Consider the following 22,609-nt stretch of genomic DNA (forward strand, 5'->3'; position numbering starts at 1 on the left):
ACCCACCTCCACACACAAAGAATTTAGCATTCAGGCAATTTTAAGAATTGTTGAGTTTAACAGCATTCAACAGGTTTCTTAGCATGTTAAGAAACATGCTGAGGCCGGGCGTGGTGGCTCACATCTGTGATCTCAGCACTTGGGGAGGCCAAGGCAGGCAGATCACAAGGTCAGGAGTTCGAGACCAGCCTGACCAACATAATGAAACCCCCATCTCTACTAAAAATACAAAAATTAGCCAGGTGTGCTGGCACATACCTGTAGTTCCAGCTACTTGGATGCCTGAGGTGGGAGAATTGCTTGAACCCGGGAGGCAGAGGTTGCAGTGAGCCGAGACCACGCCATTGCACTCCAGCCTGGGTGACAGAGTGAGACTCCGTCTCAAAAAAGAAAGATGCTGATAGAATTGGCATATAATTTCCTGTGGGTGCTAATATTTGTTGTGAATTCCTAAGATGGAATACAGAATGCAGCATTTCCCAATCATATTAACCTCAGGTTCTCCAGGGGATACCAAGTTACAAGGTAGATAACTCCAATTTGGAATGCACTGTTAAGATCCCTTCATTCACAGTTTCACTTTCCATTTTTACCTTATTCTTCCTCTCCGGAGTTCTTCTCAACTTCCTGTTTCCAAATATAGGAAGCCATTTTTGGTAACTAGCAAAGTTACCAAAAAGTTACTTTTGGTAAGTAACTTTTAACATAGATATTTAATTTCTAAACAATCAAGCATTCATACTTCCATAAGTATGTACATTTCATGTACATGAAATTCCATTGCACATGTACATGAATATGTACATTTCATGATACTTAACTTCCATAAGTGTCAGTGCTTGATTGTTTAGAAATTAAATATCTGTGTCATCTATGTCCAGGATTTCTCTTCTCTTTCCTTGCCTCTAACCTTTCACTGCTCATAAACATCACCATCAGATGAAGTAAAGAAAGAAAGGGAGCTAGGCCTTGAACCTGCTTTGGAAAGGAGTGGAATTCAATGACATCTATGAGATTGGGGGTCATGCACAGATTTTATCAATCCAAATGTAACAATTCACATGAAATGTTAAAAATAGATGATGTAAGATGTTATATGTAAAAAGTCAACTTCAAAGTTCTATTTTTGTAAATCAGGTACCAAGAACATATATAACAAAGGCAAATCATATTTAGCTAAATGTCAAATGTCTTAAAAGGAAGGAACCTTACTTTTTTGAGTGTCCATTATGTCCTAGGCATCAAGTTAGGTATTTTACACATGTTACATCATTAATACTTGCAGTCACTCTGTAAGTAAATATTATCTCCCCCAAGTTACATATAAGTAGCTGAGGCTAAGAGCTCACCCAATAAATAAGCCAGTAATTTATAAACTTGAATCTAGCCTTTTGTAACAATAGCAAAATTCAACTCATCATTTTTCATGTTGTTTTACTGCTTTAAGAGTGGGGATTCTTGGTCTTTGTGTTTTCCATAGCATTGAGCACCGTGCTTGGGCTGTAGTAAGTGTATAGTAAATGTTTGCTGAATTAAGTCAACAAACATTTAATGATGTTTAATTAAGTTGGAGCAATTTTTTTAAAAAGCAAATTAATTTGTAAATATCAATGTCATATGATCTTATTATACATCTGAATACCCTCTTGGATAGAAGTTAGTATATGGATAAGACAAAATATAGTTGTGAAGTGTTTCTTTCATAAACATTCATAAATTTATGACAATTTATAAAATAGAATGCTTTTTGATAGAGCCCACCTATGAAATCTGTTACCATTGTAAAAAAAATTATTCAAAATTTTCATTTGAAAGATGTGATAATATTAGAGTCATTAACAAAAATTATGGAAAGAGCCTTTCCCATATGTTTTTAATGATATTTAAATGAAATGCAGACACACCTTTCTGGAATATGAAAGAATTTTACTTTTTCTCTCTTCTTCTTCCAGAGAGATCATGATTAGAGGGAAGACCACAGAGTACCTGTGCCTTTGTCTCATCTGACCACACCTGTGCCTGAATAGTCCTTTTTCTTTCACTAGTAATGCTAACACGTTACATTCCACATGACTCTTTCCAAACTCTGTACTACTCTGTGAACCAGTACAAGATTTGACAAACACACAGTGAAACAATAATCTCATTTAAATTTTGATATCTATGTCAAGAGAAGCCATAGTTTCAAAGTTTCAGTTTCAGGTTTCAGAGCTATGGTTTCAAAGTTTCAGGGTTTCCTACCACTTGGTATAAAGTATCTGCCTAATTGTTTTTATAGGTAGCTCTTTTATTATTTTTATAGATAATTCCCAACATCCAGCTATCTCCCCAAAATTATTTTGAATTTTTTTCACATAAACCAATTTTTTCCAAATATTTAATCTTCTAATTAGGAATAGTGATTGAAATTGTGCCTCAGGACTGGACTTTAGAATCATAATTTCCTTTCTTAGACCTGAATCATTCAGTCCTGGCACAGCATTTATACCTTTACAGGTGTCAAGTTCAAATCCTTATATTTATTGTTATTAGTAATGATTATATTTGACTTATTAACCTGTATCTTCTGTTATTTTCCATGTATCCTCTACATCTACCAGTCTGTTCCACGTCTGTTCTGTATCCACAAAAGCATTTGTACCTTCATTCTTGCTGTTCTTCCCACCTAGAACGCCTTCTCCTCCTTGCCATTCAGTCGTTAATTCATCCATACATCCTGGTGATGTTTCCTGGTCACCCACTCTGTGCCACGCAATGTCCTAGTTAGTGTGGATATGAGAGAATGAAACGGAGCTTCTGTCAGCATGCTCCTTCCTTCTAGTAGAGAAAGCAAAATTAGTAATGAATAGACAAAATGCTTGGGGTTGTGATCAGTGCTGCTAAGTTAATCAACTGGTATTTGGATAAGGAATGAGGTTGGGGTGGAGGCTACGCCAGACTCGGTAGTCAGAGAAAGCTTCCTAAGGAGGTGGCATGCAGGCTGAGGCCTAAGGAATGAAAAGGAATCAGCCACGTGAGAGCCAGGGTAAAAATGTGTCAAGCTGAGTGGCCGGCAAACACACACGCCCCCAGACAGGACGTTGACTGGGATGTCTGAGCAACAAGGCCAGTGTGTCTGGGGCCTGATGAGAGGTAGGGGCCTCAGACCAATCAGGGAGGGCCTTGAGGCTTGGCCTCTGTCCTACCAGCTTTCAGGAGCCTTTGAAGGGTTTTACGAGACTGGGAAGAATGGACTGGAAAGAAGTAAGAGTGGAAGCTCCTAAGAATGAAATCCACTTAGAAGGCTCTTGATGGAGGTGGTGGCAGTGGGGAAGGGGAGAGGAAACTTACTTCAATCCCAGCCCTGTGTCAAGGCCCAGCACATATCCCATCTTACAACGTCTTCCCAACTGGTCTCCAAGCCCTGAATTTTCTCATGACGCTGATGGAATTCAACACCCAGTTTTGTACTTACTGGAAGTTCATCTGAGATTACTCTCCAGTTGAGTCTTCCCTTCCCAACCAGATTTAAAAGTCTTGAGGGCAGATGCCACATCATAGACATCTTTTATGTCTTCCAAAGAGTTAGAGTGGTCATTCTCAACTCTAGCTACTCATTAGAATCCCCTGGAAATCTTTTAAATACCCATCTCTGTGCCCCACCCTAGACAAATTCAGTCCGGGACTTTGGAGTGGGGTCAGGACATTGGTGTTTGTTTAAAAGCTCCCCACTATATTCTAATGAGCCATGAGGGTGACAACCACTGTTAGAGTCCTCTCTCTTTCTCTCTTTTCTTTCCCCTTTCTCTCCCTCCTTCCTCCCTCCAGTCTAGCAGGCCAGTCTAGCTGAGATTTTGTGCTTGGGAATTATCTGCTTCCAGGTGAGATGTGAGGCTGTGAGATTAATGAGACCTCCAAGGAAATGGCTGAAAGAAAAGAGCAGAGGTGAAATACTGCTTCCAGGCAATGTATCAGGATAGGAACAACGGAAACTGAAGCCAGACTTTCTATAATCCACCCTTGTGGAGTCTGTAGACTGGATCAAAGAAGGTGGTTACGGAGAGACTTAGTCACCTACTTCCTAATCAGGAAGGTTGGTTTCTTTTCCAACATCTTAGAAGCAAATTAAATACTAAAAGTGAAGATTCACCACAGTGGCAAAAACTATTTCTAAAGAGACTACATGTGAAATTTAACTAAAAAGAGATGTTAAACATCTCTTGTCAAATTCTGTATAATAGAAGAGGTACATTATTAGACCCCCAAATAGCACTGCTATGATTTAATCATCACTAACTGTATCTGTACCAAGAGGCTGGGTCAGAGCCACGATTAGACATCGATGCTATATTTGCTGTATCCATGTGACTTACCACAGGCGCCCTGCTTTTTAGTGATAGAGAAATAGGTCCTGTTCCACCTTGTACTTCCTGCTCCAAACACACACACACACACACACACACACACACGCACACTCCAGAATGAGTTTCAGATCATTTTAAATTGATAGTGACCTTAAATATTAAAGCCTAGGGATGCTTTGATAACTTGCTTTTCTGGCGTTTTGGTTAATAAATGGTGTTTTTTACAACATGGTTAATATATGCTTTCTAATAGAAACAGCGCAATTTAGTAAAACCATCTTTTACAATGTTTGACTTAACTACCTCACATGGTCATGAGCGTCACTTGAGAAGGTGTCAGTGTCAGAGGGTTTTAAACTCCAAATGTTTATACAAGTGAAGCATCTAGTATTGGGAGGATCCACCAGGGACTGGCAGGGGAGGCTGGGGGGGGATAGGGGTTGAATGTTTCCCTAACTGCCCCTCCTGCTCCAGCCCCCACCATTTCTCCCCAGACCCTCTCACTTGCATGTCCCCTATTGCCATATTGCAAAGCCTCCTCCTTGTCTTAGCCTCAGCTCAAGTGTCCCCGTTTGCTCCAAACCATCCTCAACTCCTCTGGATAGAATGAGTGTTCTCACTCCTCTCCTCTCCTCCCCGAAAACTCTCTTCTACCCCTGTTGGAACACGTAGCAGATATACCATCATGCTGCTTCACGTGCTCCTCAAGAACAGGGCCACGTCTCCTTCTTGAGCCTTATACTAAGTACTGTACCTGGCAGAGGAGGTGTGTTCCATAAGCAGGCAAATGAATACACTAGCTGAAATCAAGCCTGAGCTGTGTCTTTTATTGTGTGCTACTACTTATATAGAAACTCTGAATTAATTCTTACTGGAATTGAATGCTGTGGCCATATGCAATTTAATATGAGCAGCAGTTCTTCAACTGAGGAGCCCATTAGAATCACTTGTGCAATTAAAATCTTCCTGCCTGTCTGTCTGTCCATCCATCCATCCATCTACCTGCATGCTTACCTACCTGTGATCTATTTTTCTGTCTACCTATCATTGATCAAGAGCCCTACCAGCCCCACTCCAGACCTAGTTAATTCAGAATCTCCCATGGGAAGAAAGGGGTACTTTTAAGAAATGCTTCACAGATGATTCCTCTACGCCCTGGTGAGACCCATTATCGGTCTAAGAAACATATAATGAAGCCACTCAGACAAAATAGGTTTCTACTGTTTCGTGTGCTATTAAGATACTTGCTTATTGCCAGTGTGAAAGCACATTATTATTAGAATGCTAAAGATCTTGTGCCTTGCACAAAAATGCTCTGAAATACCCTACTGAAGGGTACACAGTGTTGACCTGTACACAAAGAAGCATCTTTCTTTGAGACTGTTGCATGGGAATGGTGGTACATTCTGTTTTCTCTTCCTCCACTTACTGTGGAAAGGGACTCGGTAGCTTTTGTATCATTAACTGAGACTTGCTTAAAACTGTACACCCAACTTGTCTTTAATTTACCACCTGCTGCATGCCTCTGCACTTCACATCCTGGGTCTTATTTTCTTAGTAAGGGAAATTTGGCAACCCTCCATTTTTAAAGCAGCTTGACTTGGGGCATTTTTAATAAGGGGATAAAAGGAAATATAGCCAGTCCCAAACTTTGACAGCGGTCAGTATGGTATAAAGAGTGAAAATATCTTAGGTCCCCTGTGTGAGATTCTATAGTCTTCACAGCGCCGATCATGCTTGCTTGTGGTACTTACAGAACATGTCACTCGGTCGGGGGTGGGGGGTCAGTTCATTTGTTCAAACAGTAAGCATTTCACAACATTCATTAACCTTAGGGTCACTTTTTTAAGTTAAGGAAGTTCAAAGACATTTGTTTAAATAACTGTATGACTGTGACGATAGTTGAAAAAAGCCAGATAGTTGAAAATTAAAGCCAACTTTGTTTTTAAAATCCAGACTTCGTGGAAAACCAGGAGCTCTGTAGCATACATTTAGAATAAAGCTCCAGCTTTAACTTCTAAATATCCTGGCTTATGTCAGTCTTTTTGTCACAGCCCTAATGCTCCATAAACAAAGGTGTCTCTTATACTAACAGATGTGGGCTTTGTCTTTAGCTGTCTCAGGGAAGGTTTTCATGGAACCTCGAAACTACAAAAACTCCCAAAGTACCCTTGAGCACCTGGGTTACTGTAAAACAAAATCATGTCCCAGAAAATTATGTTTTCAATGCAGGGCTAGTAAGAAATGAAGTTTTTTTTTTTTGGAAAAAAAAAATGCTGTACATACTTCACCAAATTCCTCTCATCTTCAAAAATGCTTACAAATATAGCTTGTTTCTCACAGTTCTCCGGTGAATTATGTAAATACTTCAAATCATCAGTTCTGCTTTTATAGATATGAAACTAAGGCAGAGAAGTTTATTTATTTATTTTTTCAGACAGCAGCCTCATGCACAGCTTAACTGCACATAAAAAATGTTGCCCTGACATATAAAATCCATGTCTGCTTGAGTATATGCTTGGCCATCGGCCAACCCACAAGGCATAGGCCATGCCAAATGTGATTTCCATTGGCTTTTATGCAGGGGGAAAGCCAGGCACAGTTTACCCTTTGGGACGCATGCAATATTGTTTTTAGGGAAATGTGGTTGTATTTGCCCTGGCCTCAAAGGCTGTCTCACTGGAGGACAGGCTTTGGTCACAGTTTTGGTCACAAAACACAACTGTCCCCATCAGCTATGTTGAAGCTCTCTGTACTAGGATATGCAACCAGGTGATCAGGGACTGGAAATCAGCTGGAAATTCCAATAGAGGCTCATTAATTAGTGGAGCCCACATATGCAGGGCATATACTTATATGGCAGGTGGGCAGCAGATGGGGGACAGTGCAAACCTCCAGGAAAAGAACAAGAGCAGGATCATTAAAGAAGCCTTAGCATTTTCACACAGAGACTGAGCTTGGAAATCCAGTTTCAGAGAAGGGATTGGAGGATTGGGTAGGGAATGTGGACAGATTATAGGGAGAGACCAAGGTAGACACCTGGCTTATGAAACGGGTCTACAGAAAACATCAGGAGGCCCCCACAGGTTTCATTCTGGCTTCTTCAATTTGGTGTGAATTGACAACAAAGAAAACTCAGGAGGGCGCGAATGAGTTCCTGTGGATCCCGAGCCCTCTCAGGCCTCCTCGGTGCAGAAGGGCAAATCCTTCCCATAGTTCCTGCCTCTCTCTCTAGAGTAGCACAGGACTTGGGAAGCCAGCAGCTACAAGGAAGCTCACCTGTCAAGCACCAACGCTTTATTTTAATTGGTATTTTGCATGAGAATCATTAAATTGCAACTCTTTCTTATATTTAATCACATTTACTGGCTTTCTCAAATTGAACATACCCCAACCCTTGAATAGTGTGGGATTGTGCAAAGGAATGGAATTAGAGTTGTAAAAGAAGAATGCAGTTCCTGGCTGAGCCTGTTCTACCTGCTGGTATGGGGCCTTGGGCATATCCATGAGCCTCACTTTCCTCATCTGTAGTTTAGGGTTGATTGTACTTGGCTTGAGTAGTAAGTATTATGTAACATAGATTCATTTTGCACCTACGTGGACTTTAAATCTTTGCGAACAGTAGCTCATTTCTTCCTCTCAGCTACCTCCCAAGGTGATCACTTGGCCCCAGGTCCCCCTGCTCTGGCTCCCTGAGTTCCTGCCTTGCTCACCTCTCACATTTTGCTGTTGTGCACTTGCTTCTGGCAGCTCCCATCTCCCTCCTTCTAATCTGCTGTTTTCTTCTTTTTGTGTGTGTGGTCTGGGAAACCAAATAATCAAGAGTGTTATCCTTTTGTTCAAAATGATAGTACACAGACCCCACTGAGGCCTTGGGCAGTGTATGATTCACTTGTGTGGGCTGGAGTTTGTGAATTTTTTACATTTATTCGGGCCGAGTTGCAGTTCGGTTGATTTCCTGGTTCTTGACATAATGGAGGTGGACAGCTAGGTTATATCTTTTAATGTTTCCTCATCATCCAATTTAGAAATCTCCAGAGATCCTGCCCAAACCTCAGGATAAAATTCAAGCCCAAAACGTCACACAAGGCCCCTGTGTCACCAGCACTGTCACCACCTCTGGTCATGTAGTCCTAGGTCCCAGCTCCCCAGACTCTTCCTCTCATCCCAAGTACTGTGTGTTCCTGCTGCTTTGCTTGGCAATGTGCTGTTCTCCTCGCGTACATCTGGTCTCCCCACTGGCCAGGAAACTGCTCAAGGGCAATGTTACCTTACCGTTGGTTTCCTTAGTCCTACCCCAGATGTGGCACACAGTAAGTATTTAATGCATGCTGGCTGACTCACTTCTTCTGCCATTGTTACCAAGCTACAGAATGTTCTATAGAGCACAATGATGTATATAGACCATCTCATTACATAGATTTTAAAAATATTTAAGGAGAAAAGGACAGTTTAGAGAAATGTAGCCAAATGCAAACGATGCAAAATGCAGCTTAATGAGGTTAGTAAAAATCCTTATCAACCCAGAAAAGTCCTTGTGAACCTTGATTTTTTTGTGTGTGTGTTTGACATTAAACCAAATTTAGAATTTAAAAATATATATTTTGTAGGGATTCCTTGCAGGAGAAGATAGAACATGTAATAATTACAGTAACAAGTGTATTGAATTTGATTATCTCATGAAGGAAGATGTACCATATACTTTAAAAAAATGTTCTCAAGGAAGATTTGATTATATCAAAGGCATAAGACCTGTGAAATTTGGCCCTAAGTTGAGGAGTACAAAGAAGCCAGCCTTCACCTAAAGAAGGCTCAGTCTAGTGACATTGTTTATCCATTTGCTTTGAACTTTTCAGATTACCTTCCCTAACACTGATGTCAAATATGCCGGTGAAGAGTTTGAATAAAATGTTTTCAGGAAATGTGAGAGTGGAAAAAAGCAATTTTTAAAAATAGCATATTTTTAGACATGATTTAGTATATGTATTTTAAACTAAATTAATAAATTAAATATTGTTATAAGAAAAAAGCCAAATTACCTTCCCTAGAAAAAGAAATTATTTTCAAACTCCTAAAATGTATTAGTATATTTAAATTGTCCCTTGCTCTTAATATATGGAGAGAGAAAAAAATGTCATCATAATACCCAAATGAAGGCCCAGGTGAGCAGATCACTTGAAGTCAGGAGTTCAAGACCAGCCTGGCCAACATGGTGAAACCCTGTCTCTACTAAATATACAAAAATTAGCCGGGCATGGTGGTGCATGCCTGTAGTCCCAGCTACGTGGGAGGCTGAGGCAGGAGAATCACTTGAGCTCGGAAGGAGAAGGTTGCAGTGAGCCAAGATCATGCCACTGCACTCCAGCATGGGCAACAGAGTGAGACTCTGACTCGAAATAATAATAATAGTAATAATAATAATAATACCAAATGAGAGAGAAATAATTCTGAACTCTTGTTGAAAATCAGTTCATGGGAGTACAGCATACAAAGTTGGTTTTATTTTTATAAAAACATTTTGTGTGTGCATAGAGCAATGCTCAATCCCTGAAGAATAACAGAAAGAATAAAAGGGGAATTTTTATATTTTACTCTAGACTTTTCTATTTTTGGTTTTGTTTGTACAGTCATTGTGTCCTGCTTTAAAAGCCAATAAATTATGTTTTAATCAGTTAACTGGATAGCAGCACATATTATATTGTCTTACCATGTATGATGCACAATATTCTGGGTACACTCAGAGCACCCCCATAATAAGTTGCTAATGACATGGGTCCCTACCCCAGAGTAACTTGGGGTGAGTGATATGAAGACCCTGCCTCCCCACCCACTCCCCACCCTGCCCCAGTGTAAGCTATTATTGAACTTGTTTCTTTGTTAATTAGAACTAGCTCTGAAATCTTGTTAATTTTTTTTGTTGTTTTTTTTGTTTGTTTGTTTGTTTTTAGACAGTATTGCTCTTTTGCCCAGGCTGGAGTGCAGTGGCCCAATCTCGGCTCATTACAACCTCTGCCCCCTGGGTTGAAGCAATTCTCCTGCCTCAGCTTCCCGAGTAGCTGGGATTACAGGTGCCTGCCACCACACCTGACTAATTTTTGTATTTTTAGGCGAGACAGGGTTTCCCCCTGTTGGCCAGGCTGGTCTCGAACTCCTGACCTCAGGTGATCCACCCACCTTGGCCTCCTAAAGTGCTAGGATTACAGGCGTGAGCCACCGTGCCTGGCCAAAATCTTGTTAATTCTTATGACCAAGACGCAGTCATAGTTACTAATTCATATTCACACAATATCACCACAACATGGACATTTCAACTAGATTTTCTTCCACCTTCCTAAATTGAGGACAGACTTGAGGCCAAAATCAGCAATTTGGGATTATATCACCACTCTTTTTTAATGTTGTGGGAAGCAGTTTATTTTCATGGTATGCGGCTTTTTTCACATGGCTAAATTCCAGCCTGTGTCTGCTTGGATGGGGACATGTGTTCAATCTGCCCTTGAGGAGCTCCAGGCCTAAAGCTGGAACCCCACGGTTGCCCTGGATCAGCTGAGGTGGTTACTAGAGAGGCTGAGTGTGTAAAGGCTTGGCCAGGATGGTAAAGCTGCGTTTGTCATTGTGCCTACAAGCTGAGTACAGTGTCAGATATCAGAGATGGAGACCACAGCAAAGAGCTGATAAAGTATAGTCAAGGAGGCCGGGAACGGTGCCTCACACCTGTAATCCCAGTACTTTGGGAGGCCGAGGCGGGCGGATCATTTGAGGTCAGGAGTACAAGACCAGCCTGGTCAACATGGTGAAAACCCGTATCTACTGAAAATAGAAAAATTAGCTGAGCGTGGTGGTGCATGCCTGTAATCCTAGCTACAGGGGAGGCTGAGGCAGGAGAATTGCTTGAACCCGGGAGATGGAGGTTGCAGTAAGCCAAGATTGCACCACTACACTCCAACATGGAGTGTAGAGACAGAATGAGACTTCATCTCAAAAAAAAAAAGTATAGTCAAGGAATATGGTGTTATGAATATTTGCTGAGGGCATCATGTGACTATCGTTTAAAATACAGTCATGTATACGTACAATAGAATTAGATAGTTTCTGTGCCAGAATTCTTATTTATTGTGAGATATATCAAATTTTTACTTGGTGATTCAGAATTTAAACTATATCACTACCTGTACAGTTTATTCAAAAAATAAATATTTAAGTTATAAATTTATTAGTTATTTATAACTTAATCTTTATAAGCAAATATTATTTATAACTTAAGCCACATACCGTGAAAATAAACTACTCACAACATCAAAAAGGATAATAAATATTATTGATAACTTATCGAATAGGTAATTGCTGCATATTGATTTCCATTTCCCCTTGTGCGGTGTGTCTCCAATAGATGTAATATCACCAGTGACTGTGGGAACTTTGCAATTTGCTAAAAATAACTGATGAAGCTTATTAGTTCTTATTTTCTTTGTTTATCATAATTTTAGAATATAATTTAGTTGAAAGACATATTTAGCAAATATGAATTGAGTGCCTACTGGGTCAGGCACTCTTCCGGGTGCAGTGAATGGGGCAGTGATGAGACACATGGAGTCCCTGCTCCCATGGAGCTTACATTCTATTGAAGCCAACAGACAGTGACCAGATCAACAAGTAAATGTATGATAAAATGCCAGGAAGTGGTAAGAACCATGAAGAAAGGTAAAGCAGAGTGGTGGGGCAGGGACAACTGAAGAGCTCTTTTAGGTAAGGTGAGTTTCTTTCCAGTGACTGGCCATCTAAATGTGACTGGGTTACAAAATTTGGGAGATTTGCAAGCATAGCTTTGTAAAACCTTCTTTGATCAGTTTGGTGCAGTTTCAGGTGAACGCTATTTTTTATTTCAATTTGCTTAAATGCTTTTAAGTTTTGTGCTGTTTCAAGCTTCAGGAAGTGGCCCAGTTCAAAGAAAGATGCTAAGAATTTTACCTTGTTTTGTGTGACAACAGAATGAAGGCACATAATTACACCGACTATCCCTTACCCCTGCCAAACCTTTAGTGGCCCAAATTGGTTTAAAATTTAGCACAAAACCGGCCGGGCACGGTTGCTCACGCCCGTAATCCCAGCACTTTGGGAGGCCGAGATGGGTGGATCACGAGGTCAGGAGATTAAGACCATCCTGGCTAACACGGTGAAACCCCGTCTCTACTGAAAATAAAAAAAATTAGCCGGGCGCGGTGGTGGGCGCCTTTAGTCCCAGGTACTCCGGAGGCTGAGGCAGGAGAATGGCGTGAACCCGGAAGGCGGAGCTTGCAGTGAGCCGAGATTGCGCCACTGCAGTCCATCCTGGGCAGCAGAGCGAGACTCCGTCTCAAAAAAAAAAAAAAATTAGCACAAAACTGCATTGTTATCAGAAGATGTTCCCATGTCTTAAGAAAAACCTTGCAGTATTAAGGTGGCAGCTTGATTACACAAATAATAAATCATGTCTTCCTTAATAACAAAGACCTGTTGTTTATCCTTATAGAGACCAAATTAACACGTTTATTTCGGGAAAACGTTGCTCTTAAGAGCTTCTGCCTGCCTGTGCTATGTACACCAGGGGCATGATGTGAAGCGTGTCAATTAAAGAAAGACAGGGAAGGGTTTTAGCAAAGACATTAGAATTTAAACAACCAAGGAGATTTTCTTTCAGCTATCACATTGAGCAGGTATATATTCAATTTAATATATTGATATTACTCAAAACAAGTTTGGAATTCCTCTTTTAGAATTGTCTTTGGAGCTACTTTACAAGACAAACTAAAACGTTAGGTTGATTATTAGTGCTTTCCTTTGCCAACTTGGCGCTTCCTGCTCAGTGTATGTCAATAGATTAGAACTATTTCTTACCCTTGAGACGCCAACACTGTTGTGAGGAGACCGATGAGACATAGAACTGGAAGTGCTTAGGTATCTATGAACCAAACAAGTTAGAAGGTCCAGGAGGGAAGTGCCACTTGGTGATGTAGGGGAGGCTCCAAGGGTGATGATATTTGGGCTGGGATGTTTGAAGAACAGGTTCAAGTTTGCTAGGCAGAGGGAAATGTGAGTCTCTAACTTTGTAGCTAAACATTATTATTTTCAAAACTAAGATAGCTTTACTCAGTTCGATAACTTGCCTTATTCATCAGACTTAGACCAGAATGATCTTGACTAATTTAAAAAAATTTGTGGAACACAGATATTTTATACCATTTAATTTCATAAATATTTATTGAGTTCCTAATTATGGGTAATATACTCAGCTACTACGTCAGGTAGCCTTGCGGAATTCAAGAGTCTTTCCCCATCTTTTAATTTTTGTATTAAGGTGAGATTCGCATGACATAAAATTAACTATTTTGAAGTGTCCAATTCAGTGGCATTCAGTACATTCACAATGTTGTACAACCACCACTTCCTTTTTTTTTTTTTGAGAAGAAGTCTCGCTCTGTCACCCAGGCTGGAATGCAGTGGCACGATCTCGGCTCACTGCAACCTCCGCCTCCCAGGTTCAAGCGATTCTCCTGCCTCAGCCTCTCTAGTAGCTGGGACTACAGGCTCGTACCGCCACGCCCAGCTAATTTTTTGTATTTTTAGTAGAGATGGAGTTTCACTATGTTAGCCAGGTTGGTCTCGATCTCCTGACCTTGTGATCCGCCCACCTCGGCCTCCCAAAGTACAACCACCACTTCTATCTGGTTCCAAAGCCTTTTCATCTACCTCAAGAAAACCCTATACCCATTGTGCAGTCATGACTATTGTCCCCCTCCCCCAGACTCTTGCAAACACCAGTCTGCTTTCTATCTCTATTGATTTACCTATTTGGGATATTTCTTATAAATGGAATCATAAAATATGTTACCTTTTGTGTCTGGCTTTTCAAATTGAACCTAATGTTTTCAAGGTTCATCCAGGTTGTAGCAGGTTATCAATACTTCATTCCTTTGTATGGCTGAATAATATTCCATTCTATGGATGTACCACGTTTTGTTTCTCTATTCATTTGCTAAAGTACATTGGGTTTTCCCCACCATTTAGCTATCATGAATAGTGCTGCTATGAATGTTTGTGTACATGCATTTGTCTGCATTAGTTTCCTATTGTTGCTGTAACAAATTGCCACAAACTTTGTGACTGAAGGCAGCATATATTTATTACCTGACAGTTCTGGAAGTCAGAAGTCTAGCAGTCTAGTGTCAGCAGGGCTGCATTCCTTCTGGAGGCACTGGGGGAGAATCTGTTTCCTTGCCTTTACCGACTTGTTAGAGGCTGCTGGCATTCCCTAGCCTGTGGTCCCTTCTCCTAGGTTCTAAGCCATCAGAGTAGCATCTTCTCATCTCAGACCTCTGCTCCTGTCTTTGCACCTTCTCCCTCTGACTCTGGCCCTTCGCCTCCCTCTTATAAGGACCCTTGTGATTACATTAGGCCCATCCAGATAATCCAGGGTAATAGCCTCATCTCAGAATCCTTAATTTAATCATGTCTGCAAAGTTCCTTTTGCCATATAAGGTACCATTTATAGGCTCTAGGGATTAGGAGGTAGATATCTCAGGGCAGGGAGGGGCTGAAGGTGGGGGAAGAGGGAGATCATTGTTTACCCTACCCATGGTCTTTCTCACTTGAGCAAAGTCTGATTTCTTTAGCAGTGCTGGTCACAATCCTCACTAGGCTAATATTTTCATTATTCAGTTTACTTTCTGGCCAATGGGAAAGAAGATGAATGTTTAAATGCAGGAGATATATATATATATATATATATATATATATATATATATATATATATATATATATACTGCAAATCCTTGAGGGCAGAGATGGCCTTATTCAACTCTTGATCTCCAGTACCTAATAGAGTTCAAGTCACATGTTCAGTAAGTACAGAAGATAATGGTGGTGAGTTATATCCTGAAATGAGGGAGGGTATCATTTTATAGTTTTCTTAAAGATGTCCATAGAAATAATAAGATTCTGTAACTCCAAATACAAATACAGATCTATTATATGAAAATCATATTGGTCATATGCCCTCTCCCTAAGCATCTTCTGGAGGGGGAAAGAGATAGACATCTAACCACGTCTGCTGAGGGGGACAGAATTTTACCATCTGAGAAAGAGCAGAACATATTTTTGGCACTCAGTCTAAATTTTTCCTTTCAGTGGTATTTTTAAAACCACGTGAAGTTTCAGCATTTGAATTATTATCAAGCTCCACATTGGACAAGGAATTAGCTAAATATTAAATTAGGTAATTTGGGCTTTATTCCAAACTAACCAGTACCTCACGGTGATGGAGAAATACAGTTTGGCATCCTAATGGTACCTCTACAAAATGTCCTTGAGTATTGCGATGGAAGCTCATACAAATTAGTGAGAACTGTGGGTGTGAGTAGGTTGAAGATTTTACTAGCCACTTTATGGAGTATGAGTATGCTCCACCGTGTAGGTGGCCCTTAGCTTGAAATATTGTGTCACGGTACATAAGTACTGTGGAGTTGTTTACATGTTGAGTGTGCTGCCAAGAGGAGGAAAAAATTCCAAGGAGATGCGTATTGAGAGGGAGCCCAAAACAGAGCAGTGCGCTCTTCCATGATGAGAATGTCAAGCCCTGAGATAATGAAATTCAAATGAAAGGAGCGGTCAGGGTGCTGCTCAGCTTCGTTTGGAGTGTTCTGTGTCGTGTGTTATTCATTGCTGGGAACAACCTGTAAAATGTGCCATCTGCAACATGTGGCATCATAGCCTTCGTGAGTGAGCAGATGATGTGATCCAAGCTGCCCTCTGAAAAGCAATCAACAGTATTACAGCTCTTCTGTTTTCATCTTCTTGTGGTTCACAGTTCTATTAAGGTAATCTCTGTGACAAGAAGAAGATGAAAATCTTGGATACATGACCAAAATAACTTTAATAGTGGGATTTGAGTCATTCTTAATATTATAAGTCATTATATTTCATAATTATAATTCATAATATTAAGATAAATGTTTATAAATATTATTTGAATGAAGATCAAAAAATTAAAAGACTTTATTTACTATCATTTAAAATATTTTCTTGTTTTGTATGAATGCAAACATTGAGGAAACAAAGTATGTCTAGAAAGCTATAGTAAGGCATATTCCTTCTGGCTACCTTTAGAGGAAATTTAAGAAATAATGTTAATATACCAAATGTTTGACTTGATGACATGTTTAAATTAAATACAATTGTAGAATCTCTATAACTACCTACCAGTTTTATCCAAATTGTATTATTAATCTGAAACCTCCATGCCTTAATTATAGCTCAAAAACAAATTAAAAGTGTTGTGATAACTGTTATTGACTCAGTAAACAACTATCATTAATCCTTCATAGGGTCGTTGCAGGATTAAATGAGTTAACCTTTCAAAGCCCCATTCCTGACACATTATTTATAAAATGAATAAAAATCATGGTAATGAATTCACTCATCCAACACGCTTGGCAAGGCAAAGTAAATTCCTTTGTTTAATTGAAACTGAACAGAGCAGGTCTACATCATACGTAATTCACATGTTATGGTACAATGCCATTTATACTGGAAAATTGAAACTAATAAGTGAAAATAAGTAGTGATGGAACTAAGCCAGAAATACACTGGTATGGATCAGCCTTTGGAGCAGGGAAAGAACTGAGATGGTTCACATTGGAGAGAACTCTTGAACTCCAAGTCTTTCTCACAAAAAGTCATTCCTAGGTCTTCTTAATAACCAGTGCTTCATGCAAGTCATGTATTTAATGGCTGCTCGAAGTGACACAAACTGTAGCAACAAGTTATGCCACAAATCCTTTCTTCTCTCCCTTCTTCAATACCAGCCTTCCTTGTTGGAAGGTACAAAGCAAGGAATTAAATACTTAACACAAACACTGAATGCCCACAGCAGCATTTTATAAGAGGAGTTTTATGTAGTATCTAACATGCCATATGTTACATCATTTCAAGAAGATTTAACCTTCTAGTAGAAAGCATTCTTTTTTATTTTTATTTATTCATTTGTTTTTTAGAGACAGGGTCTCACTCTGTTGCCCAGGCTGGAGTGCAGTGGTATAATCATAGCTCACTGCAGCCTCAACCTCCTGGGCTCAAGCGATCCTCCTGCCTCAGCCTCCCTAGTAGCTAGGACCACAGGTGCAGACCACCACCCCTGGCTAATTTAAAAAAAATTTTTTTTAGAGATAGGGTCTCACTGTGCTGCCCAGTCTGGTCTTAAACTCATGGCCTCAGACAATCCTCCTTCCTCGGCCTCCTAAAGTGTTGGGATTAGACGCCTGAGCCACTGAGCCTGGCCAGGCAAGCTTTTTTTAGCCTGCTTCCTGGCTCCATCTGCAGAGCTTGTGTGCTTCCGTGCCTATGGTACACCCAGTTACTTTGTATTAAATTGAATGGAAGACTTTCTCACACTAATAGGGAAAAGACAAGGCCATAAATTCAGCTGAATTCTTAACCGATAATGTCCAGCTTCATTTTCAAACCCCACAAACGAGGTCTCATTGACAAAGTTCAGTCTGCAGTCTGGTCCTGGGAACCCTGTGCACATTCTAGGAGTGAGACAATTTTAGAAATGTTGAGCTTCTCGTAAAGTGGACACACTCTAGAAAACATCATTAAGAGACAAGCAGAGTAGAAAGAGACAAAAATGATGGAAACCCTAAGATTCTGTCTTTATTTGGCAGTCCCTTTTTTGATCAAATTTGTTCCATTTCTAGGGCTATGACTATATCTGTTATAGTACCATGCCATTTATGCTGGAAAATTGAAACTAATACATGAAAGTAAGTAGTGATGGGGCTAAGCCAGAAATGCACTGTTATGGATCAGCCCTTGGAACAGGGAAAAGAACAAAGATGGTTCACCTCCCAACCTGGCCCCCTGCCCCTCCCTGGCCCTGACTCTAAGCAGATGGTCAATTTGCATTGTTCCAGAAGTAGAGAAGCAGGAGTACATCAACTACAAGGAGAGCCTCAAGCTGCCTTTTTTGTTTTCCCTATCTCGAGCACTGCCTCAAACTCACCTAGGGAAGGCTGCTGCTTTGAGGTCCACATGATATTGTTCTTTAGACTGCTTCTATTTGGGGAAGAATAAGAATATTTTTAATATTCTATCTTGTATTTTACCTAAGTATGTATGTTATTTTAAAGAAACTATTTAGATACCCCCGCCACCAATTTATTAAAATAGGCTAGAATTTGCAAATAAAGGCAAATAAATGTGTTTGACTTTTTAAAAGTTAATGAACTTTGTTTTTTAGAGGAGTTTTAGGTTTACAGCAACATAAAGAGCAAAGTACAATGAATTCTCACAGGTGTCAGGGGATGTCTCCCCCCGACTATGGACATCCACCACTAGAATGGTGGATGATTTGTTAGAATCAATGAAACTACATTGACTCATCATTATCACCTAAAGCCCAACATTAGGGTTCACTCTTGGTGTTGTACATTTTATGGATTTTGACAACGTATAATGACATACATTCACTGATACAGTGTTATATACAGCAGTAGTTATATACAGTAGTTTTTCTGATCTAAAAAATCCTCTGTGCCCCACCTATTCATCCCTTTTCCCCCCTAAATCCTGGCAACCACTGACCTTTTTACTGTCTCCATAGTTTTGCCTTTTTCAGAACATCATATAGTTGGAATCATATGGTATATAACCTTTTCAGATTGGCTCCTTTCACTTAGTAGTATGCACTTAAGGTTCCTCCATGTCTTTTCACGTCTTGATAGCTCATTTCTTTTTAGCACAGAATAATATTCCACTGTCTGGACATACCACATTTTATTTATCCATTCACCCACTGAAGGACATCTTGGTTACTTTCAAGTTTTGTCAATTATGAATGAAGCTGCTATAAACATCTGTGTGCAGGGCTTTTTGCTGACATAATCTTTCAGCCGATTTGGTTAAATACCAAGGCGTGCAATTGCTGAATCATAGGGTGAGAGTATATTTAGTTTTATAAGAAACTGCTAAACTGTCTTCCAAAGTGGCTGTACCATTTTGCATTCCCATCAGCAAAGAATGAGAGTTCCTGTTGCTCCACGTCTCTACCAGGATTTGGTGTTGTCAATGTTCTGGATTTTGACCATTCTCAAAGATGAGTAGTGGCATCTTGTTGCTTCAATTTGCAATTCCCTATCGGCATATGATGCTGAACATCTTTTCATATGCTCACTTGCCTTTTCCACCTGTATATCTTCTTTGGTGAGGTCTTCCTTTTTAGTGAGGACCTCTTTAGAGAGACCTTCTGTTCAGGTCTTTTGTCCATTTTTAAATTGGATTCTTCATTCCCTTATTGTTGTGCTTGAAGAGTTTATATTTTGGGTAACCATCATTTATCAGATATGTCTTCTGCAAGTAGTTTTTCCCAGTCTGTGGCTTGTCTTCTCATTATCTTGACATTGTCTTTCAGAGAGTAGAAGTTGTTAATTTTAATGAAGTCAAGCATATTAATTATTTATTTCATGGATCATGCCTTTGGTGTAGTATCTAAAAAGTCATTGCCATACTGAAGGTCACCTAGATTTTCTCCTACGTTATCTTCTGGGAATTCTGTAGTTTTGTACTTTATATTTAGATCCATAATCGATTTTGATATTTTATAAAGGTCTCTGTCTAGATTCATTTTTTCGCATTTAGATGTCCAGTTACCTTTTGAAGATGAACTTTGTAAGATGAACTATAGATTTAAGATGAAAGTAAAAACGGTCCTCGTTTAGAAGCCAATATTTTACTTAACAAGGCAGTATCATAAAATGACTATGATAATTATATTTTATCCTACTTTTACAAAATACTAGTCAGTGCAGGTATGCCTACTGACATCATTTTTACTGTACTACGGCAGGTCTTCCAACAGGGAAGTAAAATAATCTCATGTAGAAAATGGCCTAGAAAATGTTAAGCTCTGAGTCCCATGTTGGCCTTTTGCAGTGTGATAACTTTCAGAACAAGATTTCTTTTTCCTTTTGCAGCTAATCCAACAATAAAAATATAATTATGGAATTGCAACCTCTTTGGGAGAAGGTCCTAATATATGTTCTAAGTTCTCTTCTGGAAAGTTACATCTTAAGAATGTACCGTTCCTTTCAAAGGCTATAATTAAACAATATGTTTTCCTGCTGCCTGATCTTGCCAGAATAGGAACACTTAGTCCTTTTCATTTAATAAGAGAGCAGTTTTGCTAAAAATGAAACTTAATTTTAAAAATTTTGATATGTGCCATTGTATATATTTGAAGATGGTATTTATATCCTCAGAGGTTATTGAAGAAGAGGTCATCTGATTTTAAACAGAGGTCTTGGTGCCAGCTGTGCCTTGTGCTACTGATCAGTTTGTGTTCATTGTACCATAAGTGTTTACAACAAAGGAGTCTGATAGTGAGGATGAGCCAGTTAGATGATTTATCTCTGGTTTATTCCATTGGAGAATGAGGCTTGGATTCATGCCAAGATGATAAAAGACAATAGTATCTGTGTTATAAGGTGTCAGGCTGATGACTTTGTAGTTGGGCATATGCAGATAGCTTCAGGCAGATCTTGGGTAATTTGCATACCACAAATATTTGCTCACCGTCTATGGCTAGCAAATGAAACAAATACCACAGCAAATATAAAACCTGGCCTTGCCTTCATGGGATCTCATAGCCACAAATTAGTGGGGCGTCACAAATTTAAAAATCAGCACCAATATTTTAAATCATTTTCTCATTTTTTTTTTAGAAAGGAAAGACTAATTTAGATAGCCTGAGGAACTGAAGTAATTTCTACGCACAGAACATGTATCTACTCTAAGAAAAATGAACTTTCTTAGGGTCACTATTATCATTAAGATGGTGCACAAATATATTCAAAAGCATGACATTTATCCTCTCCACATTCTTGTTCTCTGCAGATGGCATGTGTTACTTTATCTCCATTAGTATATCTTTTCTTTTTAAAACCCAAATTAGATTATACATATTGTTACATCACAATAATTTTTCACTTAACAGTATCCATTGGATATCTATCCATATTGATATACATGGATATTTTAAATACTATTCCATTATTTGCATGTACTCAAATGCATTTAACTAGTTCATATTGACGGAGCATTTAGGATGTGTGTGTGTGTGTGTGTGTGTGTGTGTGTGTGTTTTCTGTTACAAAAATGCCACATAAAGCACACATTTCAGAAATCTTCAGTTACTTAAATAAATGTAGGACAAACTCTTCAAAGTTGGAATTGTGGGATCAAAAGTACGTAGCTTTAAAATCTTGATAGATACTGCCGAGTTTTCCTTCTAAATGTTTCTAACTATTTATACTCCCACAGTCAGTGTATGAGAGTGCCTCTGTTTCCCACCAACCTCAGCAACAATTAATATTAGCAGGCCTATAAATCTTTGGCAACCCAATAGGTGAAAAATCATTTCTAATTATTGTTTTAATTTGTTTTGTCTAGTGCCAGTCGTATGTACTTCTTTTCTGTGACCAACTCTTCATTCTTAGCTTTTCCCCATTTTACTTTAAGGTCGTCTTGTTGATTTATAATGGCTCTTTATATTAGGGATATTATGCCTTTATCATGAATGACACAAATGCAGGCCTTTTTTATTTGTATGTAAATAAGAAAGCTTTTCATCTTTATAAGCTTTTTATTTAAGGCTTCTAGATTTTGTATCCCATTTAGAAAAGCTCTCCCCTTCCTAATTTATTTTTTCAAAACTGGACCAGGTGTGGTGGCTCATGCCTGTAATTCCAGCACTTTGAGAGGCCGAGGTGGGCAGATCACTTGAGGCCAGGAGTTCGAGGCCAGCCTGGCCAACATGGCAAAACCTTGTCTCTACTAAAAGTAAAAAACTAAAAAATTAGCCAGGCATGGTGGTACACACCTGTAGTCCCAGCTAGTCAGGAGGCTGAGGCAGGAGAATCTTTGAACCCAAGAGGCAGAGGTTGCAGTGAGCTGAGATTGTGCCACTGCACTCCAGCCTGGGTGACAGAGTCAGACCTGTCTCAGAAAAAAAAAAAAAAATTAAACCATGCTTTCCTCTGCTGCCTTTATGGTTTCTTTTTGTTATATGCATGAAAGGTTATATATATTTTATTATATATGAAATGTATTTTTACATAAGGGGTGAGGTTGGGATCCCCATTTATTTTCTTTGCCAATGCGCTTCTACACATCATTCATTAATTTTCTGATTCATTTGAAGTATCACCTTTGTTACATATTATTTTCCATACACGTTG

The 22,609-nt window shown here is 39.4% G+C and overlaps 1 protein-coding gene across 5 annotated transcripts in view; it reads left to right on the top strand.

The window, feature by feature from the left end:
• PHACTR2 (phosphatase and actin regulator 2) overlaps positions 1-22,609 on the top strand; it is a 294,308-nt gene that overhangs the window by 76,961 nt on the left and 194,738 nt on the right. The gene's annotated exons all lie outside the window — the stretch shown is intronic.

This window comes from Homo sapiens, chromosome 6 (genome assembly GCF_000001405.40).
Source record: "Homo sapiens chromosome 6, GRCh38.p14 Primary Assembly".
In the NCBI taxonomy this organism is placed as follows: Eukaryota; Metazoa; Chordata; class Mammalia; order Primates; family Hominidae; genus Homo; species Homo sapiens.